The sequence below is a fragment of the Homo sapiens genome, chromosome 4, assembly GCF_000001405.40.
Source record: "Homo sapiens chromosome 4, GRCh38.p14 Primary Assembly".
In the NCBI taxonomy this organism is placed as follows: Eukaryota; Metazoa; Chordata; class Mammalia; order Primates; family Hominidae; genus Homo; species Homo sapiens.
The window spans coordinates 118663471-118690457 of NC_000004.12; the positions used below are offsets into that span (position 1 = coordinate 118663471).

Below are 26987 nucleotides of genomic sequence, written 5' to 3' on the forward strand. Positions count from 1 at the left end.
GATAGCTGTAGGATATGCAAATTGCAGAAAGACCACTGCAAATGATTTAGCTTATCCCCAAACAGCTGAACTATCTTAAGCCTCATGGCTACTTTAGAGTGACCAAATCCATGTAGATGCCAGAAGTTGTGTCATACACCTATTTCAAGGGACACATAGAATTTCCCTATATATACCTACACCTCAAGGGTCATGTCGGTTTACCATTCCCCTAAACAACAGCTTAATAGTATAAACTGCTGAACTGCTGTCTGCCTAATATTTATTGTGGCTATACTTCTTCTTTTCTGTATTAAAGGCCACTGCTTTTCCCAGCTTGCTCTTTGTTCTCCATCATCTGTTGTGGGTCACTTGTGCTGTTTTTAACACCCGTGTTGCTGAAGTCATTTCTCCAATTCATGATCCATGAAACTACTTCAGCAGTGAAAATGGCACCCCTCAGGTTCAAGTCAACATTTTTATATTTCCCTCTAGGTCAAGATCCAAGCTATGGAAGAAATCAGGATATGTCAATTTTCTAGAGCAGCCAAGTTTTCTAAAAGTCTACCTAGCCATGTAGTTATGTAGCCTCACTCTCACTTAAACAAAGAAAATTAAAAAGCACACCAGAAAAGACTTTTCTTGTTAAAAACACATGTTTATTGTAGAAAATATAGTAAGGAAAAAGAAGAAAATATAAGGCAACTAGAATTTCTCTAGTTAGAGATAACTATTATTTATTTGAGTGTGTGTATATATCTATATATATATATATATTGACATTCAGCTCTTATGTACTAGATACACACATCTACTGTTTCATAAGCTTTTTTCACAGAATAGATTATAATCAGTTATGTTTGTTATCACCACAACATTTTCTTCTTGAAGACCTTCTGGAATGAGGCATTTGCTTTTCTATCTAGAGACCCTATCCTTTCAAAAGGTCCTTTCTCTGTGGAAAGAGCTATTCTGGCCACAGTTACTGCCAAGAAATGAGGTGTTAGAAAAGGCCTAAAGTTAAGTGCAGAACTGCTGTGTTTTGATGAATATTCTGTTGTTTTGAGAGGAGGTAGAAGCATTCTCAGCTTCAGGATATTTGCTCACTACTCATTAGTCTCTCTGAGAAGTAGCAAACTTCAAAGGTTAAGTATGAAGAGATGAATTGTGTAATGCCTAGATGTCAATAGCAGAGAAGGTATCTGAGCAAATTCAGAATTTTATCCCTGTCTCCATGGGCCTAGTGTGAAGAACAGTCATTTGTGTAAGTGGGTCTTTGTGTATATGGTACTGAATCAGGTCACTGAGTCAGAAACTTAGAGCTGTAAGGAAAGTGAGGTGCTCTCCAGTCCAGTGTTCTGGAATTTCTTCTGCAGTGGCCCCCAACAGCAGGTGGCAGCATCGTCCATGATTGTATTCTTAAGTGACATGGTATTACTCTTTCTATTTGCAATCCATTTCATTGATGGATAGTTCTAGAGATCTGAAATATTGAGATTTAGCTCAGTGTTGTTTATATGAAGATAAATTCCACTTTTCAACAACTCTCTTGTATGTGTCTAACGTCTGCCGCATGGAACGTCGCAGATTATGCTTCATACTTGTCTTCCTGAGTCTTCTTTATCCCGAACTTCCTGAGTTTTTGAATGGTTGACATGCCAGCTGGCTTTCTGCAGATGTACTTCTTGTGTGTAAATTTCCTTCTCTGTGAGGTATTCATATTGAACATGACCTCCAAGTGTGTTTGGGTCTGTGCAGAAGACAATAGGACTGTGATTTCTGATGATTAAAACCTGGATTGTATGTTACTGTGATCAGACCCTGAGACTGAGTTAGCAAGTTTTATAGCATCTGAGTCGCTCTGTTGGAGGAAAGTGCACGTGATGGGCATTTGCTTGCTTCCCCACCAGATTCTCTACCCTCACCCTTCCTGCAAGATTCCCTAGGAAGCTGACTTCTGCTGAATGCAACACTCAGGTTCTCTGCTTCCTAGATTCTAGTTGAGTTTGGTCCATGGGAGGCCTTGGCAGAAATTTTGAGAGTAAGAGCAAATAATTACTTAACCATTAGGAAAAAATAACATGAATGTGTCCTTCTATCCATGGCCTCAGTTCCTGTTGGGGAGCCTCGGTGCCAATCCCTCCGTGCATCACCATTTCTAATTAGTTCCTGTTTTAGTCTGCTTTTGCGTGTGTGTGTGTGTGTGTGTGTGTGTGTGTGTGTGTGTGTTGTTATAAAGGAATACCAGAGGCTGAGTAATTTTAAAGAAGAGAGGTTTATTTGGTTCACAGTTCTGAAAGTGTGCAAGAAGCATGGTGCCACCATTTGCTTCTGGTGAGGGCTTTAGGCTGTTTCCACTCATGGCAGAAGGGGAAGGGAAGCTGGCATGTGCAGAGATCACGTGGCGAGAGAGAGGGGTTTGTGCCAGGCTCTTGTTAACAACCAGCTCTTGTGGGAATTAAGAGAGCTAGAACTAGGTGGGCACGGTGGCTCACACCTGTAATCCCAGCACTTTGGGAGGCCGAGGCAGGCAGATCACCTGAGGTCAGGAGTTTGAGACCAGCCTGGCCAACATGGTGAAACCCCGTCTCTACTAAAAATACCAAAAATTAGCTGGGCATAGTGGTGGGCACCTGTAATCCCAGCTACTCTGGAGGCTGACACAGGAGAATGGGTTGAACCCATGAGGTGGAGGTTGCAGTGAGCCAAGATCGCACCACTACACTCCAACCTAGGCAGCAAAAGTGAAACTACATCTCAAAAAGAAAAAAAAAGAGCGAGCAAGAACTCACTTGGATGGCACCAAGACATTCGTGAGAGGTCCACACTCAGGACCAAAACACCTCCCATTAGGCCCCCCCTCCAACAATGGGGATCACATTTCAACATGAGTTTGGAGTGGTCAAATATCCAAACCCTAGCAGTTCCCTTAACCCTGGAAAGAGACCCTTCATTAAACTCTTTCTGCTTAATCCTTTGAGAGTGCAACAATTTCCTGCTAGGACCCTGACAGATAGAGGGACCATACAGATCACTAAAATGCTGAGGAATTTTTCAAATGAACTGCACCCAACAGACCTCCCTGATTCTGAATATATCAAACTTTTATTTTTTATTTTATTTTATTTTATTTTTTGAGACGGAATCTCGCTCTGTCGCCCAGGCTAGAGTGCAGTGGTGCTGCGATCTCGGCTCCCTGCAACCTCCACCTCCTGGGTTCAAGCGATTATCCTGCCTTAGCCTCCCGAGTAGCTGGGACTACAGGCATCCACCAGCATGCCCGGCTAATTTTTTATTTTTAGTAGAGACGGGGTTTCACCATGTTGACCAGGCTGGTCTTCAACTCCTGACTTCATGATCCGCCCACCTTGGCTTCCCTAAGTGCTTGGATTACAGGCGTGAGCCACTGCACCCAGCCAAACTTTAAAAAAAACCCCAAATAGTACTTTGAACTTCACCCGCAGGGAGTTATTCAAATTGGTTGTCAGCCAGTTATTTCAGGTTGTTGAGATCATTTGGCTCTTGATCTTATTAATCATCTTAGCCTTCCCTTTCAACAATTTGCCGACTTTGTGCAAATTTTATTAATATGTGATCTCTGTCTTTATCCATGGAGAGGCAGTATAGTATCATGAGGAATAATAGACTTTGGAGTAGGCAGAAATTAGGTTTGAATTACTAGCCACGAGGCTTTGGAAACATTACTTAAACTCTATAAGCTTCAACTTCTTTATCTATAAGGTAGGTATAAAACCTGAAAGTTTTGGCATGAGTTTAGTAAAACTGTCTGTGAAGCCCTTGTGGACTGCTTGGTCCATGTAGGCATTTGATAAATGGTGGCTTTATATAGAGGAGGGAAATGCAAGCTATCTCAAAAAGAAATCAGGGAAATAAGAATGCCATCTGAAATCTGTCATATGAGAATGAAAGGAGCATAGACAGGTTTTGAGTGTGGGGTGAGGAGTAGGGGAGGGGAGGAGATAAGTGAACTGCCCCTCAGACTTCCAGGGAGGAGAAAAATGATGTCACTGGGAACTGCAGTCATTTGAAAAGATAGCAATCAAGCATTTCTTTCAGAGCCCTGTTCATCTTTCAGTGGCTTTGCTTCTCCAGATGCTTTTGCTCCTTCAATTATCTCTGCCTTCTCCCACCTCCTCTCCAACCATCTCTTCCCTTCCTTAATTCACAATTTTTCTCCCTCTTTTCAAGGCATAGTGCTTTGATTTATGAATTAGTTCTATGTTTCTGTTTTCTAATTTATTAGTTTCTGCTTTCTTATTTATTTATTTTGAGATGGAGTGTCACTCTGTTGCCCCAGTTGGAGTGCAGTGGCATGATCTCGGCTCACTGCAACCTCTGCCTCCCAGGTTCAAGAGATTCTCCTGCCTCAGCCTCTCAAGTAGCTGGAATTACAGGAGTGCGCAACCAAGCCTGGCTAGTTTTTGTATTTGTAGGAGAGACAAGATTTCACCATGTTGGCCAGGCTGGTCTGGAACTCCTGACCTCAGGTGATCTGCCTGCCTCAGCCTCCCAAAGTGCTGGGATTACAGATGTGAGTCACCATGCCTAGCCTTCTTTCATATTTATTAATACATTATTTCCACTTTCCTAAGGATAGTTGTTGTTCAACCTTTACTAGCTTTTTTGTTGTTCATACTTAATACATTTATTTTTATTGTGCTATAGCTATTTCCCACATGTGATTTTTTTTTTTTTTTTTTTTTGAGATAGGATCTTGCTCTGTTGCTGAGGCTGGAGTGCAGTGATATGATCATGGCTTTCTGAAGCCCTGAACTCCTGAGGTTGGGTGATTCTCCCACCTTAGACTCCCAAGTAGATGGGATTACAAGAAGTACCACTATACCTGGCTATTTAAAATTTTTTTTTGGCGTGTGTGGAGATGGAGTCTCCCTATGTTGTCCAGGCTGGTTGTGAACTCCTGGCCTCAAGTGATCCTGCCACCTTGGCATCTCAAAATGCTGGGATTACACATGTGTAATATTTTTATTATCACTATTTTCCACATATTCTGGAAATTTTATTTGGATTTCTTTTTTTTTTTTTTTTTGACAGAGTCTTGCTGTGTCATCTAGGCTGGAGTGCAGTGGTGCAATCTCAGCTCACTGCAACCTCCACCTTCTGGGTTCAAGGAATTCTCCAGCCTCAGCCTCCTAAGTAGCTGGGATTACAGGCATGCGCCACCAGGCCCTGCTAATTTTTGTATTTTTAGTAGAGACAGGGTGTCGCCATGTTGACGAGGCTGGTCTTGAACTCCTGACCTCAAGTGACCTGCCCACCTTGGCCTCCCAAAGTACTGGAATTACAGGCATGAGCCACTGTACCCGGCCTGGATTTCTTTTTGACATAGAATTATTTAAGAGAAAGCTTTTAAATTTCCATGCTGTAATTTCTAGTTTTGTTGTGTCATAATCAGAGAATATAATCTGTAGCATTTCTACATTCTCTACTTTGCTTAGATGTTTTTGGGGTGGGGTGTGTAATATGTACTCAATTTTGTAAACATTTTATGGACATATAAATTTCAATGTTTACTTTTTCAGGCTATAGGCTTTGCTACATAATTTTTGTGTATTTTGTGGTCCTCATATAGATTTTTTAATTATCTTTTTGCTGTGATAGAGATTAGAAGGGTAAATTAATGTCTCATTTACCATCATTTTTCTTTCTGTATCTCTTTTCATTTCCTGATGCTTTGGCTTTATGAAATCTTTATGTATAAAAATTGTGCACACATATCTTTATGCACAGTGTTTTGGATTTTACCCTTCATAATGAGCTTTTTTCTCTCCTTTGAATTTGACCTGGCCTGGTGTTAACAGCCCAGGTGTAAAATTCCAGTGAGAAAGAAGTCTGATGAGGAGTCAGTAGGATCTTTTGGTTGCTGAGAACTGCTCAGTACCATGGACAGCTCCCTGCACTCCAGGAAACATCCTGATTCAGTGTCTTGAGTATTGTGAAGCACAGTTAGAGCGGAAACATGGAGAATCACCTTAAAATGGCAAATTGGCTTCTGGTCTTGCATAAGACTTCATTGAGGCCTAAGGGGCTATGCAGGTCTACTGTCCAAAGTACAGAGGTTATTCCTAGTGTCTTTAATACTACTGTCCCTTTAGGCAAGATTATCCTTATGATAAGGGAGACTGAATTAAGCTATTTTGGCTGAGGCATATTTTTATAAATTCATCCAATTAGCTTCCCTTGTTGTAGTTTTGGCTCACCAAACATTGTTCTGATTATAATTTAGCATCCCATATAATTTCATCTGCAGGGAGAGTCTGTACTAGGCATGACAATGCTTACATATCAGCCCATGTGACTGCAAGAGTCTCAGTATAATTTGATAACATGGCACTCAGATTCTAGACATTATTCTCTGTGTGCTTAGTGAGTGTGATGACATAACCTTCAGAAAGATTCATCCTTTCTCACATATTGATAAATCAACTTTTACATCTACAAAGTTGAAAGCCAGAAATTAAAACCTTATTAATTCACTAAGGCATCCCTATGATGGCAGTCTTCCAACTAGCTCCATTCTGGGGCACTCTGACATCATTGTACACTTTCCAATGAAAGCAGGGAGTGTATGTGATTAAAGGGAGAGCCCTGTGGCACTCCTGAAAAATCTCCCCTCCCAGTTCACATTGACTTATTAACCAACACTCATGATCATGTGAAACTCTAGAACTGGATCTGGATGCCTGGCAGGATGACATGGTGTGAGGCTCAAGCAGCACTGTGGGAATTCAAGCATCTGTTTATTTCTGAGAGAAAAAGTGTAAAGCAAAATAATATCTTTTAACAAACGTTTGTATTTGACTAAAAAGGAAGCAAGCACTTAATTTATGAATTTGCTAATTGCTCTTCTGAGCTGAGAATATCTGTGTTGAATATTAGTCATTATCCAGATTTGGCACAGAATAATCCCGAGGGTTAAATGACATTGTTCCTACAGTGGGCACCTGAAGACTGGCTATAAAAGCAATCCTGGCCAGGGGCGGTGGCTCACGCCTGTAATCCCAGCACTTTGGGAGGCCAAGGTGGGTGGATCACGAGGTCAGGAGTTTGAGACCAGCCTGGCCAACATAGTGAAACTTCATCTCTACTAAAAATACAAAAAAATTAGCTAGGCATGGTGGCAGACACCTGTAATCCCAGCTACTTGGGCGGCTGAGGCAGGAGAATCACTTGAACTTGGGAGGCAGAGGTTGCAGTGAATCGAGATTGCGCCAATGCACTCCAGCCCCGGCGACAGTGTGAGACTCTGTCCAAAAAAAAAAAAAAAAAAAAAAAAAGGAAAGAAAAAAAAAAGAAAAAAAGAAAAAGAAAAAAAAAGGAAAAATAAATAAGTAAGTAAATAAATAAATAAATAAATAAATAAATAAATAAAAGCAACCCTAACACTACTGAGGCTATTGACAGTGGCACTTTGCTCTTCTGTTAGGACCTTGGGAAATTTTTTTCCCCCTGAATACAGTATAATAAACTTGGTTCTTATTTCTCTGTCTCTCCCCCTCCTTTTCTCTTCCCTCCCCACCACCACATGCACACACACAAACAGACAGATTTGTTTATATTTGACTTTCTAAAAACCTGTTACTAGAAAGGCACATTAATACATTTCTCCTGTGCTGATAGTAATCAGGCAACTCTGGTTTCCATCAGAGGCAATTTCTTACGTATTAAATGCCAGAAAAAGGGCATCGCTCCATTTTTGTAGAGAGCCTTTCTTTATGAAGACTAATGACCACATTAGTTAGTCAGTCAGTCAATAATACTTACCAAATGTCAGTAGAGCAGAAGTGAACACCAACAGAAAATCACATTTTACAAATGCAATTTACTTGGTATCCTAACATGCCATGTCATAATAATTATTGAGGCTTTTCTTCTCTGCTGCATTGGTCTAATGAATGTGGCTAGAAAAATATGGGTGCGCATACATTTGACTAGGGGTATGCAGAGTAAACAAATAAATAACTTCAGCTAATAAAGTGCTATATAAAAATAAAAGAGTCATAATACAAAGTGATGAGAAAGATAAGCTACTTTACATATGGTGATGAGTGAAGGCTTCTTGGGGAGGTTGACATTTGAACTGAATCCTGAATGAGGAGAAGCTAGTCCTGCAGACATTGGGGAGGGGCCTGCATATACAAGGACCCAAAGTGAGAGGGAGCTGGTTGTTTGAGTTGGGTGAGAATATAAACAAACAGAAAGGAGTGTAGCTGTAGTTTAGTGCATCACAGTGAGATGGAGGGAGGTGGGAGTTAGTGCACCAGGGTGAGTCCAGATGGGGCAGGTTCTTGTAGACTGCGGTAGAGTTTGGATTTTATTTTAAGTGTGAATGGGAAACCTTTGGGAGATTTTAAGTTATGAGGTCACATGACATAAGGGAGACCAACTGAGTGAGAGATGATGGTGGTTTGAAGCTTGGTGATAGCTATAAAAATGGAGAAAGGTACACACATTTAGGTTATATCTTGGAGATGGTGCTGACAGGACCTGCCAATGGATTGGACATGGGAGGAGAGGGAATGAGAGAATGCACATATTTCCACACATAAAATGTTAACTATTATGTCATACCAAATGCATGATTCAAAAAGTAAAACCTAAACTTCATCAAAATTAAAACTCATTCCGTGAGGCTGGGCGTGGTGGCTCCCCCTGTAAACCCAGCACTTTGGGAGGCTGAGGTGGGCAGATCTCCTGAAGTCAGGAGTTTGAGACCAGCCTGGCCAACATGGTGAAACCCTGTCTCTTCTAAAAATACAAAAATTAGCCAGTTGTGGTGGTGGGAGCCTGTAATCCCAGCTACTCGGAAGGCTGAAGCAGGAGAATTACTTGAACCCGGGAAGTGGAGGTTGCAGTGAGCCAAGATCACACCACTGCACTCCAGCTTGGGTGACAGACTGAGACTCTGTTTCAAAAAAAAAGAAAAAAAAAACACATTTTGTGAAAGACTCTGTTAAGAGGGCAAAAAGGTAAGCTACGGACTGGGAGAAAATACTTGAAAACCACATATCCAACAAAGGACTAGTATATGGAATATATAAAAAATTTTCAAAACTCAACAGTATGAGAAAATCCAATTAGAACATGGACAAAAGACATGAAGACATATTTCATGCACACAGTAACACAGATGCCAAATAAACACATGAAATGATGCTCAACATCATTATTCATTGGGGAAATGCAAATTAAAACCACAAGCTATCAGTTTGGTAATGAATTCCTATAATTTTATATTGCTTTGGCATCCACTTTAAATATAAGCTGGGCTTTCTCACACCAGAGGCAGGACTCCGTCACCTTGGACACAGTTTTCGGTTTGGTGCTCCCTTCCCCCAGTTCCTCAATGTGGTGGATCCAGATATCTGCCTTATACAACTGCTCTCTGGTGACTACTTCACTAGGTGGTGGCTAGATGCAGGCTGCTTGACTGGCCCTGCTGATACTCACACACGGAACGAACTATTCAGACATGCCATAGTGACTACCTCTCTGTCAGTGTGCAAAAAAGAAATATGCAACTACCATGTAACCCAGTAATTGAACTTCAGTCATCTCTTCCAAAGAAATGAAGACTTGCATTAATACAAAAACCTGTACATGAATGTTTATAGTAGCTTTATTCATAACAGCAAAAACTGGAAACTATTAATATATGTCTTTCATTGAGCAAATAGTTAAACTATGGTACATACATACATACCTCAGTCAGTGTGGCCCCCTGGAACTCATGCCTGCTTGCTTTAAATCCACCAATTAAATTCCCTGCTGGAAACTTGTTTGGATAGCTCTCTGGACCCAATAAGGGTGCTGGCCCACAGGTCCCTTTCTCTCCCTGACCTCTGCGTATATGGCCACCAGGAGTGTCATGAGCCCTCAACCTGTAAGTAATAAAATCTTTATTTCCATCTTTGTCTCTCCTAATCATTGAAAGTGTGCTCTCTGTCTTAAAAATCCTAAATTGAAACAAACTTACATCTATTAAAACGAGTAAAATAGGCCAGGCACACGTCTGTAATCTCAGCACTTTGGGAGGCTGAGGCGGGAGGATGACTTGAGCCCAGGAGTTTGAGACCAGCTTCTCCAACATAGTAAAACCCCATCTCTGCAAAAAGAAAAAAGAGAAATCAGCCAGGCATGGTGGCAGATGCCTACAGTCCTGCTACTGGTGGCTGACGCCCCACCCTACTTCCAGCACTGAGGTGGGCAGTTCACTTCAGCCGGGAGGTCAGGCTTCAGTGAGCCTTGATTACACTACTGAATTCCAGCCTGGGCAACAGAGAAAGACCCTGTCTCAAAACAAACAAACAAAGTAAAATAAAAAAACAAAGACAATTAAGGCTAGAAAGGATGTAGAGAAACTAGGTCATTGATACGTTGCTGGTGAGAATATAAAATGATACAGATGCTCTGAAAAACAGTTTGGCAGTTTCTTTAAAAAAGAAATATGCAACTACCACGTAACCCAGTAATTGAACTTCAGTCATCTCTTCCAAAGAAATGAAGACTTGCATTAATACAAAAACCTGTACATGAATGTTTATAGTAGCTTTATTCATAACAGCAAAAACTGGAAACTATTAATATATGTCTTTCATTGAGCAAATAGTTAAACTATGGTACATACATACAATGGAATACTGTTCAGCAGTAAAAAAGGAATGAACTATTGATACATGCAACAACCTGGATGAATCTCCAGAGAATCATGCCGAGTGTAGAAAAGATAAGCCCTAAAATACATACTGTATTATTCCATTTCTACAGTATTCTTGAAATGATAAAATTACAAAAATAGAGAACAGATAAGTGGTTATGGGTAAAGGAGAGGGTGGCAGCAGGAGGGAAATGAGTGTGGCTATAAAAGGGCAACATGAGGGATGTTTGTGGTGATGGAAGTGATCTATCAATGCCAGTATCTTGGTTGTGATATTGGACTATAGTTTTGCAAGATATTATCACTGGGGAAACTGGATAAAGGCTACATGGGATCTTTCTGTGTTATTTCTTACGAGTGTATGAGAATCTATAATTATCTCAATATAAAAAATTTACCTTTTTAAAAAAGTTAACCATTTGACATGGTTCTAATACATATCTATATCTATATCTGTATCTATCTATCTATCTCTCTATCAATCAAATAACATCTTTCACTTAAATGCACCACAGAATTTGTTGTGGAAGTTTTGGCTAGGGCACAAGGTGAGTAAATGCAGTATTCGCAAGTGAGGATTGAGACCACCTGGTTGCAGGACTTATAGAAGAAGTAGAGCATAACTAGCTGTAAGGCTTTAAATTACATTATCCACTTTGAAAGTCTAAACTGGTTAAGCATTAGAGCTGGAGGAGAAAATTTTTGGAAATTATTGTTAGGCTGTGATACCACCCCTCTCCTCAAGAGGAGGGGGTAGCAGGCAGTCCCTTTTCACCATAATTCAAGGGAGGAAGCTTAAAGAGACCACTAGAAGAACTTAAGGTCTTGGAGACATCGATGTGTTGACCTCTCATTTGGAAAATCCAAAGAGCTAGAGTTGGTTAGTTCCTCAGGGGGTAGAGACAAAAAGGGGTAATGTGAATGTTTAGAGGAGCCATTTTGTAATAGGATTTTTGGTTTTCCTTAATTCCAGCAGTAAAATAAATATTACTTCCAGGTTTGCTGGGGACAAACTATGTGGTTTTCCCATGAACCAAATGTGGACCACTCACTTAAAGCCAGCATGAATCTTGTTAGGTTATGCTCAAAAGGATGGCCCATAAGGGTAAACAGTCCCTAGAGAAAGAATCCAGGTAAATAAAGGTCCAGAAGAAACAGAGATGCCTTAATCCTTGTCATGGGAACCCACAGGTTGGGTAATGTGGATCTTGGAAGAACCCATGAAAATGTTAATGAGAAAAAGAGTTAATTTTAAATATCTGTCAAGTCCAGAAAGTTTCAATGCTAGATCATGAAGAAAGTATCAGTTTAGTTTGAGCATTTCCCTTAAGCTGCTTCCATTAAATCTTCTCCTTCCCCACACTCCAAACCTGGGAAGCACTGTAGGCCTGGTGAAACCAAAGTTGGCGCATAACCATGGGGAAAGAAGGGAGCAGCAGAGATGTGTCCTCTTGTCTCTACCTCCCAGACTGCTGGTATCATGCCTGCAACTGGCCTGGAAGTGCGGCAGGAGAGAGAAGCCTTAATTCTGTAGCCAGAATTAAATTTTAACCTCATATTTTGGTTATTAAACTGAGACTAAAGGCTAAATAATCAAATAACTATTTCTAATATTTAGGAATGAACACAAAATGCATAGAAGACTGCTTAAGTTTACATTCAGGGGAAGAGGAAGAACCAAATCCATAGAAAGGGCAGTAGAAGAAAAATAATTTTTCTTAATTTTACACTATGAGTCCTACTTGTTCAATATTCTGAATAAAAAGGTTCTCTTCCTATATATCTTAGCAAAATTTTTCCAGATTATACGCTAGCATATATATGTGTGCACACATGTGTATACATACATACATTATGTGTTTCCCACCATAGTATGAATACAATATCTGTTTCCAGCAGCTGTGAATGTAGACTTAGATACGGATGTGGTAGAAGTGCTCCTTCATAGTACAATTTCCAGTTTTCCTGAATACAGTACTACCAATGTGAAACTATATTTTTGCTTGAGATAAGTATTGCCATACACAAGGTTCAGACTTCAGAGAAACAGCAAAACAGTTGGAAGGTTAAGTTGGAATCCAGTTCATATCCAGGATGAGAAGATATCCAATTTATTTCTTTTCAGTAAAGCTTTTCGAGTTTCTGTGGCCACTAGGTGAAGCTGTTTTTCTCTGCTAAATTTCACCAGAATCAACATGTTTTGGCTTATTGTACATTTGACCCATAAATGGATGGGAGAAAAAAACAGTAGATGTAATTCAAATCAGAGGGAATTCTAAATAATCAATGTCTGACCGGTGAATACTAATTCTGCATCACTCATAAGTTATTTGATATAAATGCCCAGAGGAGAATGCTGGGAAGCCCACAATGAACAGCAATTCCAGTGATTACTTTTGGATGCACTCATTCATAATCTGAAACAGATTTAGTGTGTTTGCCATAATTAGTTTTATTATCTTTCTCCTGAGCATATGTACAAAGATTCTCTTTCATATTCACTCAAAACTTAATTCTTTGAGGTAAAAATTATGGTATTTGTATTGGCTATAATAATGTGACATACTTCTAAAGAATGTATACAACTAAATCCATTTTTATGGTCATCTAGTATAAAGTAAAAAAAAATTTTAGTAATTTTCTAATTTATAATAACATATTTTTAATGGCACAAAGTTTACCATTTACAAACAGTAGTTTGTAAATTTTTAGACCAGATCTTTTATTGTTCTGGGTTATAAAATGATATAAATATTTAAAATCCCAAACATATCATTAATAAAAATAAGTAGGACTTAATGATATTATATTTTCAGTGTCTTTGAATGCAAGCTCTATTTTTGATTCATCATAGAATGCACTTCCTTTTTCTGATTGTTTTTACCATTTCAAACTTAACTTAGGGAGAAAATACTCAACTTCAGGGAAAGAATTAAGTTGTAAAAACAAACAAACTAAAAACACAGTGTTAAAGTATTCAGACAGTTTGAATAAGCTACATCACAGAATTTCATATTCTTTAAACACCACAAAGTTAATGCCAAGAAGTATTTGCCTGATAAACAATTTCATTTCTTATGTAAGTATGGTAACTTATTAGAGAGATCCCTACAAGCAACTTATACATACAGCTATTTCACTTACCTTGACAAGTTTTTAACTAGCCATTTTCTGTAATGCATAGAGATACAGTGACCTGCTAAAGAAAATAAATTACAAAAGAGATAAATTACAAATTACAAATAAATTACCTTTTTTTCTTTTCTTTTTTTTTTTTTTTTTTTTTTTTTTTTTTTTGAGACGGAGTTTTGCTCTTTTGGCCAGGCTGGAATGAGTGCAGTGGCACAATTTCAGCTCACTGCAACCTCCACCTCCTGGGTTCAAGCAATTCTCCTGCCTCAGTCTCCCGAGTAGCTGGGATAACAGGTACACGCCACCATCCCCAGCTAACTTTTGTATTTTTAGTAGAGATGGGGTTTTGCCATGTTGGCCAGGCTGGTCTCGAACTCCTGACCTCAGGTGATCCACCTGCCTCGGCCTCCCAAAGTACTGGGATTACAGGTGTAAGCCACCATGCCTGGCCTACTTTCATTTTAAAGGTATATTTCATTTTACTAAATTTTTTATCCCACAAATATTTAAGATAGGTGCATTATTAATATTTTTTTAGATAGGAATAAATTTACAGGGAATGTTTCAGTAATTTTATATAAATAATAAAACTTTTATTGAAAGTAGTATTTTATATGCATTTCCTTCCTAGTTATAGGTATTTTTAAAGCCTATTACTTTTCTGTCTTTAAAAATGTCGTAAACTTTTTTTTTTTTTTACAAACTTGTAATGCTATGTAGCATGAATTAAAAAAATTCAGGATAGGCCAGGTGCAGTGGCTCATACCTGTAATCCCAGCACTTTAGGAGACCAAGGCAGGAGGATCGCTTGAGGCCAGGGAGTTTGAGATCATCCTGCATCACATAGTGAGACCCCTGTCTCTAGAAAAAATAAAATAAAAAATTAGCTGGGTGTGGTGATGTGCACCTGTTGTCCTAGCTACTTGGGAGGCTGAAGTGAGAGGATTACTTGAGCCCAGGAGTTTGAGATTATAGTGAGCTGTGATCACACCACTGTACTCCAGCCTGGGCAGCAGAGCAAGAGATTCTTTTTGAGGAAAAAAAAAAAGAAGAAAGAAAAGGAAAGAAAAAAAGAAAAAGAAAGAGAGAGACACAGAAAGAAAGAAATAGAGAGAAAGAGAGAGAGAAAGAAAGGAAGAAAGAAAGAAAAAGAAAGAGAGAGAAAGAGGAAAGGAAAGAAGGAAAGAAAGAAGAGGAGGAGGAGGAAGAAGAAAGAAGGAGGAGGAGGAAGAAATTCAGGGATGAGTCCACTTGTTGGACCTTGTGGTAGTCACCTCTGAAACTGTTATTTTGGTCTCAGAAATAAAGTAGAATTGGGATCAATGACATTTATACATTGCCCAAACCATGTCTTTCTTTCTTGTCTCATTCCTTTTTCTATAAATCAATTTAGAAAAAAATCTTCTCCACACTGTCTTTTGGTTTGTCCTTTACTTTTTTGGTCTTTCAGTCTATTAATGACACAATTTGTGACTACCTGTCTTTCTCCTCTTCAGATTGCTTTCCTTTATGCTATACAATGCTATGTTCTTATTTTCTAAGTTTTTTGTAGTTGTCATGAGAAATTACCTTGATGCAATGGTGACCTACAAGTACACTACAAGGCAAGCTATCCCGGAAGTCACAAAACAGGCTCAAAGATCAAATTAAGATGTTTGAATCGCATAGTTTATTAAATCACTTTAAAGCACATAATCTGAAGCAAGAGGAAAGCGATGGGGTAACTTTCACACTTAGGATAGGGTTCAAGTGGGAAGGACCACACGAGGTGAATCCTGAGTTATGCTACATTCATACATCCTGTGTCTCTCTCCATCTGCGGCATCAGCCTTCTTCACTGATGGTCAGATTGAAGTTTGAGCCAGGTCAACAGACAGAAGGTGCTTGGGGCCAATGATACACACTTGCTCTATTAAAGAGAGACAGTGACAAGTACGCCTGGCCACAGCCATAACTTGTCAATCAGCCTGCAAAAAGCTATGGGTACTATAAGGATTTCTTAGGTAGAGCACATGTGGGCCCAGAGTAGGACCATAAGTGGCTGGTATAAGTGGCTGGTTCTTTCCATCCCTTTCCATCTATAAATAATATAGTAATATAGTAAATATATTTAATATAGTAAATATAATAAATACAATAATACAGTAATATGGTAAATATAATAATATAGTACATATATCAGTCTATATTTAGTATATTATGAATTCTACCTATGTCTCACAAGCTACTCGCTTACTCATTATCTGTGCTTAGCACATCCTATGGGATTAATCCACCTCATTCTGTGCTCTACTACAGAACTGAACTTTCTCAATTAATAGAGCAAACTCATGTTACACTAATCAACCTTTAAATATTTTCTCATGTATGCAGTTAAATGTATTGACATTACTTGTAACATTTTTGTATTATCTTATTCTATTTACCTTGTCATTTCTCACTTTCCTTACAGTTTTTGTCATTTTGAAGAAACCAACAGGGATGTTTGGTGCAAATTCCCAAAATAATTCAATCCAATTCAATTCTCCACATTTCCATTTGACATTGATATACAGGCTGTGAAATATACCTCTTCTTACTTTACGTTCCAGAAAATCAAGCCTTTAAAATTATTTTTACATGGCTGGGTGCGGTGGCTCACACCTATAATCCCAGCACTTTGGGAGGCTGAGGCGGGCAGATCACCTGAGGTCAGGAGTTTGAGACCAGCCTAGCCAACGTGGTGAAACCCCATCTCTACTAAAAATATAAAAATTAGCCAGGCGTGGTGGCTGGTGCCTGTAATTCCAGCTACTTGGGAGGCTGAGGCAGGAGAATTGCTTGAACCTGGGAGGCGGAGGTTGCAGTGAGCCGATATCGTGCCATTGCACTCCAGCCTGGGCGACAACAGCGAAACTCCGTCTCAAAATAAATAAATAAATAAAATAAAATTATTTCTATGTAATCGCAGTATCCTTTAAAAATGTATTGACAAGTGATGAGAAAACAATCTTCATTTCTGTTTCTTATGTAGTTCGTTAATTTGACATATGAGGCTTGATAAACATTTTCTTGTGCCACACATGCACTAGACCTCAGCAGTTGTCCTGTTGAGCACAATAAATTCATGAACTGGGGAGTCTTCTGCATTTAATGACTATAAATAAAGCTCCAAGGATGATGTAAAATGCTAGGGGCTGTCTTCCAATTTCTACCCAACATAGGTACTCACAGTTTTTCCAACAAAGCTCAGAAAAGTTAGCGAGTTATCCTCAACCAACAGGTTCATCAATAAGCATCTACTGAGTGTCCATTCTTCACAAGGCACTGGAAGAAAACAGAACTTATCACCGGATTCTGACACTCATTTTATCTTATGTGTATGCCTGATAAAAACTTTCTGCTTACAAAATGTATTTTTAGAAAAGTCACTTTGGAGCCCATCTCTTCATTGTAGGAGAATTTTCTCTTACTCAATTATAAATTTACAACAAGTACAAGAAAAAAAGCCATGTTTAGGAAAAAAGACAAAACCTTAATGTGCTTATAAGATTGGGTAGATAAAGGAGAATAGAGCAGGCTGAGTGTTTTAGGCCATTCTTGCATTGTTATAAGGAATAATATATAAAGAGAAGAGGTTTAACTGGCTTATGTTCTTCAGGCTGTACAGGAAGCATGATTTTGGCATCTGCTTGGCTTCTGGGGAAGCCTCAGGAAGCGTACAACCATGGCAAAGGCAAAGAGTGAGCAGGCATGTCACATAGCCAGAGGAGGAGCAAGAGAGACAGAGAGTGGGGCAAGGGGAGGTGCCACACACTTTTAAACCACATGATCTCAAATGAACTCAGATAGAGAGTTCTTATTACCAAGGGAATGGCCCAAGCCATTCATGAGGGATCTGCTCCCATGATCCAAACACCTACCACCAGGCCCTACCTCCAACATTGGGGATTACAATTCAACATGAGATTTGGTGGGGACATACATTTAAACTCTATTAGTGAGGTAGCAAATTATTGTATAAAATGCTAAGTGGTTTAGGAATTTATCCCCTTGAACCCAGACATATGCTATCTAATATGGTAGCTACTAGCCAAATACAACTTATTACATTTAATTAATTACAATTAAAGATTCAGTAATCTTTATTTTAAAATAATAATACACTAGCCACATTTTAAGTGTTCTGTAGACACATATGGCCGGTGGCTACCATATTGATTAGTATAGAAATAAATGTTAGTAGGACATTTCTATTATTACAGAAAGTTTTATTGGATAGTGCTGTCCTAGATATTGAGGAAATATAAAAAAATTTTGAGCACAGTTTAAAATGATAAAATTACAATTTTCCACAAATATCTAGGAAAAATTGGATAGACTGGAAAAAGATAAGACAATTAGGATACGAATCAGAATACATGTCATCCACAGGTTGTGGTTATAGAAATGAAGAATGGTATGTGTCAGTGGTGCAACCAGAAGCAGAACTACAGTCACAGAGCAGATATGGAGGCTGAAGGAGAGGTGGAATGCTTCTTGTTTAGGAAAATGGGTGGATATTGACCCTATTTTCTGAAATAGGAAATGCCAGAGGAGTGAAATTGATTTTTTTTAGTGGATGATAAATTTAGGTTTTATTCATGTTGTTTGAGATTGTCTTAGTCCAGTTGTGCTGCTGTAATAAAATACCACAGACTGGGTAATTTATGGAGAACAGAAACGTATTTCTAACAGTTTTGGAGTCTGGGAAGTCCAGGATCAAGTTGCCAGCAGGTTTGTTGTCTGGTGAAGGTCCAGTTTCTGCTTTCAAGATGGCATCTTGAATGCTGCAACCTCCAGAGGGGAGGAATGCTATTCTACATGGTAGAGGGTAGAAGGGCAGAAGAGGAACTCTCTCTGCCAAACCCTTTTTATAAGAGTACCTAATCCCATTCATGAGGGCAGAGCCGGTTATAACTCAATCACCTTCCATACACCACACCTCCCAATATTGTTGTATTGGGGATTAAGTTTCAAAATGAATTTTTGGAGGAGACAAAAACCTACTGCCAGCCTCCACCTCCAAACTGGGGATTGCAATTCAACGTAAGATTGGGCGGGGACTTATATTCGAACTGTATCAGTGAGGCAGCAAAGTATTGTATAAAATGCTAAGTGGTTTAGGTATTTATACTCTCGAACCTAGACATGTGCTGACTAGTACGGTAGCTACTAGCTATGTAAACCATAGAAGAGATTGTGGAGGGCATTCTAGTAAGATGTATAATAGGCAACTAGCTACACAGGCAGTCCCTAACTAACATAAGTTCCACTTACGATTTTTTTTTTTTTTTTTTTTTTTGAGATGCAGTTTCGCTCCTGCTGCCCAGGCTGGAGTGCAATGGCGCCATTTCAGCTCACTGCAGCGTCCGCGTCCCCAGTTCAAGCGATTCGCCTGCCTCAGCCTCCCAAGTAGCTGGGATTACAGGCGCCCAACACCTCGCCTGGCTAATTTTTTTATTTTTAGTAGAGATGGGGTTTCACCATGTTGGCCAGGCTGACCTCCTGATCTCTGTTGATTCGCTGGCCTTGGCCTCCCAAAGTGCTGGGATTACAGGCGTAAGCCACTGCGCCTGGCCCACCTAACGATTTTTTGACTTACAATGGATTTATTGGGACATAGCCCCATCATAAGTTGGGGAGCATCATGAGTTGTAGAGTATAGGTTTGGAGGAGTCAGTCTCCAGGAGCTTGGGGAGAGATGCATAAGTTATAATGTGGATCTCTCTTTACTTCCTTAAATTAAGTGCCTAGAAGTAAATTGCTTCTTCAAAAAGTATGGATTTTATGTGAGGACTTCCGAAATTTCTTCCCCCTCTTCCTGCCACACACACCCCCTAGTGGCCTTTATGTTGTCATAATGAACAGATGTTACTGATGGGCTTGTAAAATTCTCTACAAGTATGCTGATGTGGTCTGGTGTTTTAAAATTCATTAGTTGGGAGAGAGATTTCAAAATTATATCCCCTTCTTTGTACAAACTGCAACAACCCTCTGCCCAACTCCAACAGTTTTGTAAATATTACATGGAAGTACATATCTGCATCAGTACAGTTCCAGGCAGGAAAACAAATAATTAAAAGTATTTTAAACAGACGCCATTCACTATGGAGAAATAGTTAAGCAGATATTGAAGGCTAGAAGAGCAAAAAGGGAGAAGTAAGATTAAATCAGAAATTTTAAACTGCAGGATGGCTACCAGTCCTTGAGCTGGTGGAACAGAAGGTAGAAGTAGTAGTATCATAGCACAAGAGCAAACTCACTCACTGTTAAGGGTGTCACTTTCTTAAGGTAAGGAAAGGAGGGGCTGCTCCAACTGGCTCTAGACTTTGTAAGGGACATAGTCATCGCTCTAGATGCCAGAAGCAGAGAGTAAAATAAATGGACAATAGCTTTCCCATGTTCCACCTTTTGATTTCCTGCCTGTGCCTCCTGTGGGCAGAGTCTTACAGGAAGCCATCTAACAAGGAAGGCTGGGAAATGTAGTTTGTGGACTCCCTGCCTAGCCATCATCTCGAAGCAGAGGGTAGGTGAGTATGGGGTTCAAAGATTACAAGCAAGTAACCTGCATAGCAACTTATCAGGAAAAAGAAAAATCCTCCATTAGACAGTAAACTCATAAAGAAAAACCGACTTTAGTTTTTAATCTTTGACAGACTTTATAGACTCTAGGGCCTATCACAGTGCTTGCCATATAAAATGCTCAATCAATATCAACAGATATTTAAGTGAATAATTGCCTATTCTCACCATTGGTAAAATTTAAATCAGTATTCAACTTAAATGATTGCCAGATAATACAACTGATTTTTAAAGAAATACACTTTAACTCATATGGACATAAATATTTTACAGTATCCAAGTAGTGCTGACATTACTCAAGGAATTGTTTAGGACTACTTGTTCAAAATTGTCTTTCAGACCTAGTTCTTCGGAAATACATTATAATTATTTCTATAAAAGTGGGCATGACTAAGTAGAATCTAGTCTTGCCCACTTTTGGCCCAGCCTGACTCAACTGGTTTTGATCTGGATGACTTAATATTATTTCTGAAAATTAAATCTACTCTGAAAGAACAGACTTATTACTAATTTTGTTAAGTACTTACCGCGATTTCCAATTAAACTTGAGGCAACATGATGTCTTACTCCACTTCCGCCACTGTAGGCTTGAAATAAGATGGCAAGTGTGGTGAATAATAATGGTAATAACTCAAATAAGACTTTGGCCTTTGCTGCCATCCTATGAAGACAGAATCACCACCCCCCAGCCCTCACCCCTCACCCCCGCAATCCGAGTAATTTCAGGAAGCTATTTGTTTCCTTATCCTTGGGTTATTTTCAGTTAAGACAAATGTACAAGCACAAAAAGGAGTCTCTTAGCTTCTGACTCCTAGGACATAAACCAAGACACGCTTTACTATCACATACTCATTTCCCTAAAGGGAAGAAGCCAAAAAATGCATACTATAGTAAAATGGGAAACATTTCAAGGGACAGTAAGGTGTGGGGAAGAGTGGGCAGATGTTGTGGCTGTTACCTGCGTGAAGGTAAATAAAATATTAACAATAACAAGCACTTCTACACCGCTATGTGCAAGGTGCTATTTATCCTTTCAATCACAGCTCTGTGAGGTAGACACTTATGACTCCCATTTTACAGATGACAAAACTGAGGCTCACGAAGGTGGTTAACTAGCCAAGGCCACTCGTCTAGGAAGTGAGAGGCCAAGGTTCAATCCTAGGCAATCTGGCTTAAGTTTGTGTTCTGTTAAAAAAAAAAAAATTAAAGGTTATCTGGCAATTTTTTAAACGTCAGGACTGTCATCTGTGGAATCAATTGAAAAGGGAATCAACACTTCAGAAACTGTAATACACCAAGGGAACCTGCTATCCTGGGAAAGAGAGATAAAGGAGAAGTCAGCTGACTGTCCTCCTTCAGACTAGCTCAGACCACCCCAACCTGCGAGGGCCCTGGAGACCCCTGTGGCGCAACAGATCCCTTACTGGGTCCCTTCCAAGTGGCGTCACATAGCAAGCGTCCAGAAGGAGGCGGGACTTCCGGGCCAAGCGAGCCAATTCCGGCCGCGCCGGAAGTCTCTACTGAGGAAAGCTATGAGGATACTCTGTTCGTAAGCTCCCGGTGAATTTTGTTCCACAGACTCGGAAGAAAGGTTGGATAAGAGTTCACTGGAGATTGACAAGTACTCGGGATAGTGAAAAGCCGGAGTTGGAACATGGATAGCCGCTTGCAGGAGATCCGGGAGCGGCAGAAGTTACGGCGACAGCTCCTCGCGCAGCAGGTCCGCGGCCCTGGTGTCCCCTGTGGGAGGGATCGAGAATGCGAGTGCGCGGCCGCCTCCTCCCTCCACACCCCGCCTTTTTCTGTCCCTTCTCTACCTGCCGCTGTTAAGGCCTTTCTGGTCCTGCGATCTTGATCCCTGGTTCTGCCTTTGTAGTTCTCAATTTTCGCGGTGTCCCGAATGTTTTTCCAGTTCCTTCCGCGGTCTTTGTGGTGCTAAACCGAATGCCAGGATTAGCCTTTAAGCTTTGTGGAACTCCCACCGAGTGTCTGGCATGTTCACGCCAGGATGAGTGTCATGTTATCCCCTACATTTCTCTTCACTATTAAATGGTCATCTATTTCTTTCTTTTCTTCGTCGTCAGCCCCAAATTCTTGAGATTGTGGTTTCATTATGAAATACGTTTACAGTATTTTCTTTGACATCTTTCTGAAGACAACACTGGAAGTAGCCTGAGTGTAAATTTTAGATTCTGCATCTTATATAGAGTATCCTTGTCACATCCACAGTTAATATTTGAAATCTTACTCTGTGTTAGTCACAATAATCTCCTGAAACAGGTATTATTACCTTCACTTATCAAGTAATGAAAAAGGCTCCATACGTTAAGGAATTTTACTCCTGGTCGCTCACTTCTCTGCTGGGAAATAGAACCTAGGTTTGTCTCCCCAAAGCTTGTCTTCTAAACCATTGTCCTTCACTTCTTTCTTGTGTATGAGTAAGTTAACATTTGCTGATTAGTAGAGTGCACATGCAGAAAATACAGATTGTGCACAGTTCTACTTAAAATCGAGGCTGTATTTTCCATTCTACTATTCAGATCAGTAAAAGTGATAGGAGCAATGCTCATAGAGTGTAATTAGTCATCTTGCAGTTATTTTTCAGTAATGAAACTTGGTTTTAGTAAATGGACTTCTGAAACCTATCCTCTTTATGGTCTGATGAACAGATTTGTGGAATATGGCTAAAACCGTGGAAACTTGGAGTCAGATTTGTTCCTTTGTTCCTTATCCCGCTGGCATTACGATCTTGGGCAAATCAAGTATCCTTTCTAAGTCTTCTTTTCGCCAACTTCTTTTATCGTATTATCTTCAAAAATGTTAAGTAGCTCTTTGTTGCTACCACAGAAGACGTTTTACTCCTTAATATTGAATTCAAACTTCTATTTGACTCAATATACATTCATAGGACAATTATTTGTTTAGTGTTTTACACTCAGCAGATGCCAGGGGCTCTACCTTTTAAAGTCTTTTATGAATTGGTTGCACTCTACTTAGCCAGCCTTATAACCATTATTTGTTTACATTTGTTTGTATTTTGCAAAATTTTCCAAACTGCCAAACAAAATTTATGTTACCATTTTAAGGTAGTAAAGTTCAGCCTTGTGTCTATAAATAGTAAGACTTAGCTTGAGTAAAACTGGATCGATTTTTATTAGAGCATAGAATAAATAAGTTATATAAGCTGATGCCTACAAAATGTTTAACATGGTACCCACAACCCTGTGCAAACACTGTCTTATCTGCCTTTTTTAGTTATTGCTATTGCAGGTTGAATATCTCTTATCTGAAATGCTTGGGCCAGAAGTGTTTTGGATTTCAGATTTTTTTCAGGATTTGGAATATTTGCATATTACTTACTGGTTGAGCATGCCAAATACCAAAACTCAAAATCGGAATGCTTCAGTGACCATTTCCTTTGAATGTCATGTCAGTACTCAAAAAGTTCCAGATTTTGGAGCGTTTTGGATTTTGGATTTTCAGATTTGGAATGCTCATTTTATATTAAATCGTGTGTATTGCTTCACAGGAAATTGGCTAAAGTGTCTTATTTTCAAATACAGATGGTTCCAGACTTACTATCATTTGACTTAACAATTGACTTTATGATGGTTTGAGAGTGATAGGCATCCAGGCTGCTCATTGACTTACGGTGGAGTTGTGTTCTGATAAACCCATCATAAGTGGAAAATATTGTAACTTGAAAACACACTTACAACGTTTATTTTGAAACAGATTTACTTTCAACTTACAATGGGTTTATCAGGACATAACCTCATCATAAATCAAGGAGCCGCTGTATAACTGAAAGCATAAAATGTTTTGCCAGCTGTCAAACTCATCTTAATTAATGCGGTTTTTTTCCAGAGTTTTTCCAGTTTGTCTTGCAAGCTGATTAATTCATTGTTTTGTGTGTGTGTGTGTGTGTGTGAATTAAGGTGTTTTTGTTTTTTAAGTATTTAATGTATTAAATGCTGCTACAAATGCCCAGAAAGGCTATCCAGTGCATTGCAATCTAATTTCTGATTTTGTCTTTTCTCAGTTGGGAGCTGAAAGTGCCGACAGCATTGGTGCCGTGTTAAATAGCAAAGATGAGCAGAGAGAAATTGCTGAAACAAGAGAAACTTGCAGGTCAGTCAGATAATTCTTTTTTTTTTTTTTTTTGAGACAGGGTTTCACTCTGTTGCTTAGGCTGGATAGGCTGGAGTACAGTAGCATGATTATGGCTCACTGCAGCCTTGACTCCTGGGCTCAAGTGGTACACCTGCCTTGGCCTCCCAAAGTGCTGAGATTACAGATATGAGCCACTGTGCCGAGGCAGGTGGATCACTTGAGCCCAGGAAGTCGGGAGTTCGAGGCCAGTCTGGCCAACATGGTGAAATCCCATCTCTACTAAAAATACAAAAATTAGCCAGACATGGTGGCGGGCTCCTGTAATCCCCGCTACTCGGGAGCCTTAGGCAGTAGAATTGCTTGAAACCGGGAGGCGGAGATTGTAGTGAGCTGAGCCAAGATTGTGCCACTGCACTGCAGCCTGGGAGACAGAGTGAGACTCCGTCTCAAAAAAAAAAAAAAAATGTGAAAGGATTACTGTTTTAATAAATAACCCTAGGTAGGTATGCAGTGTATTAAGAAAAGCATCAAAATAATGATTTTAGACACAATGGTTTTTATTGTCAGTTCATTAATTATAAAATATTTATTTTCTGAGGATAGTAAGTTCCCATTTGTAAAGTACTTAGAAAATGGAATGTTAGACTAAGAATTAGCATATATACTATAAATAAACAAGTATATTTAAACATTTTTTTGGAAATAGAGTCTCGCTCTGTCACCAGGCTTGAGTGCAGTGGCGCAATCTCGGCTCACTGCAACCTCCGCCTCCAGGGTTGAAGCAATTCTCCTGCCTCAGCCTCCCCAGTAGCTGGGACTACAGGTGCGCGCCACCACCCCCAGCTAATTTTTGTATTTTTAGTAAACATGGGGTTTCATCATGTTGGCCAGGCTGGTCTCGATCTCTTGACTTTTTGATCCGCCTGCCTTGGCCTCCCAAAGTGCTGGGATTACAGGCATGACCCACCATGCCCAGCCTAAAAATTTTTATAAAAGAAAATATACTTTATCCTAAAAGTGGTATTTATTTGGTAGTTCAGAAAGCATTTCAAAATTTTTTCGCTATTCTAGTTTTCAATTTGTACGTCTGTTTTGCTCAAAACAGATTAAAATAATACATACTATATAAATTTATTTTCAATATATCCCTTATAGCAGCTTATTTTCTCATTTGGTTGCTTTCTGATAAAAATGAAACACAGAATTATCAATCAGGTTATTTGACTTTTTGGATGACTTATAAACTGCGTAGATAGATATTCTTTAATCAGGAAAAATTTGTCTTGTTCTGTTTTTATAACCTGTTTATTATTATTAATAGATGCATTTATACATCTTGTATATATTTATGGGTAATATTTCTGTTTATTTTTCAGGGCTTCCTATGATACCTCTGCTCCAAATGCAAAACGTAAGTATCTGGATGAAGGAGAGACAGATGAAGACAAAATGGAAGAATATAAGGCAAGTAGAGAGTGAAATAAGTTTATGGTCAAAGAAAACATAAATCCAAATGATAGATTCATATCCAGGAAAACAAATTTGATGGAAAGCCTAATTTTAAGATGTGCTAAAATAATTGTCAGTGGCATATGTTATCACCAGTTACATTAAGACCATTATATCAGTTTTCTTATCTTTTTCTTTTCTTTTCCTTTTTTTTTTTTTGTGACGGAGTCTCGCTCTGTCGCCAGGCTGGAGTGTAATGGCACAATCTCGGCTCACTGCAACCTCCGCCTCCTGGATTCTAAGGGATTCTTCTGCCTCAGCCTCCCAAGTAGCTGGGACTTGGTGCACCACCATGCCCAGCTAATTTTTGTATTTTTAGTAGAGACAGGGTTTCACCATGTTGGCCAGGATGGTCTTGATCTCTTTACCTGGTGATCCACCTGCCTTGGCCTCCCAAAGTGCTGGGATTATAGGTGTGAGCCACCGTGCCCTGCCAGTTTTCTTATCTTAATGCAAGAGTTATGTGGATTAAATGAGGTTATATATATGAGGCACTTAGCATAATGTCTGGTAAGAACTAGGTAATAATATTCTTTTTTTTTTTTTTTTTTTTTGTGAGACAGAGTCTCACTCTGTCGCCCAGGCTGGAGTGCAGTGGTGTGATCTCAGCTCAGTGCAACTTCCGCCTCCTGGTTTCAAGCTATTCTTCTGTCTCGGCCTCCCAAGTAGCTGGGACTACAAGCACGCACCACGACGCCCGGCTATTTTTGTATTTTCAGTAGAGACAGGGTTTCACCATATTGGCCAGGCTCGTCTCGAACTCCTGACCTCATGATCCACCCGCCTCGGCCTCCCAAAGTGCTGGGATTATAGGCGTGAGCCACCATGCCTGGCCAGCAGTAGACAATAATATTCTTAAAGATGACTGAGGATATAAGTGTATCATAAACCTTGGGCCCAGTGTGGTGCCTCACGCTTGTAATCCCAGCACTTTGGGAGGTCAAGATGTGCAGAT

The 26987-nt window shown here is 39.6% G+C and overlaps 1 protein-coding gene and 2 long non-coding RNA genes across 4 annotated transcripts in view, besides 2 other annotated features; 2 read left to right on the top strand and 1 right to left on the bottom strand.

Annotated features, from left to right (window-relative positions):
- LOC124900768 (uncharacterized) overlaps positions 1-16335 on the top strand; it is a 30836-nt gene extending 14501 nt beyond the window's left edge. Inside the window, exon 3 of the long non-coding RNA XR_007058248.1 lies at positions 16260-16335. This is a non-coding gene — a long non-coding RNA (uncharacterized LOC124900768). The remainder of the gene's footprint in view (positions 1-16259) is intronic.
- On the bottom strand, positions 617-21871 carry METTL14-DT (METTL14 divergent transcript). The gene is made up of 7 exons (NR_125930.1): positions 21835-21871; positions 20938-20997; positions 17019-17113; positions 14574-14668; positions 13820-13874; positions 10029-10123; positions 617-1729 (listed from the first exon to the last, which is right to left on the bottom strand). It is a non-coding gene; the product is annotated as an METTL14 divergent transcript (long non-coding RNA).
- Positions 21881-22140: an enhancer, noted in NCBI's record as "active region_21848". NCBI's record gives its function as "activates an Ori minimal core promoter by ATAC-STARR-seq in GM12878 lymphoblastoid cells {active_cell/tissue: GM12878}" and the evidence as "EXISTENCE:reporter gene assay evidence [ECO:0000049][PMID:35858748]".
- Positions 21922-26987, top strand: part of METTL14 (methyltransferase 14, N6-adenosine-methyltransferase non-catalytic subunit) — a 30039-nt gene continuing 24973 nt past the window's right edge. For both annotated transcript variants that reach the window (NM_020961.4, XM_047416029.1), the window contains exons 1-3: positions 21922-22130; positions 24453-24541; positions 25900-25987. In NM_020961.4, coding sequence (NP_066012.1) covers positions 22065-22130; positions 24453-24541; positions 25900-25987 — 243 coding nt within the window. In that variant the 5' untranslated portion in view covers positions 21922-22064. The remainder of the gene's footprint in view (positions 22131-24452; positions 24542-25899; positions 25988-26987) is intronic.
- Positions 22321-22460: an enhancer, noted in NCBI's record as "active region_21849". NCBI's record gives its function as "activates an Ori minimal core promoter by ATAC-STARR-seq in GM12878 lymphoblastoid cells {active_cell/tissue: GM12878}" and the evidence as "EXISTENCE:reporter gene assay evidence [ECO:0000049][PMID:35858748]".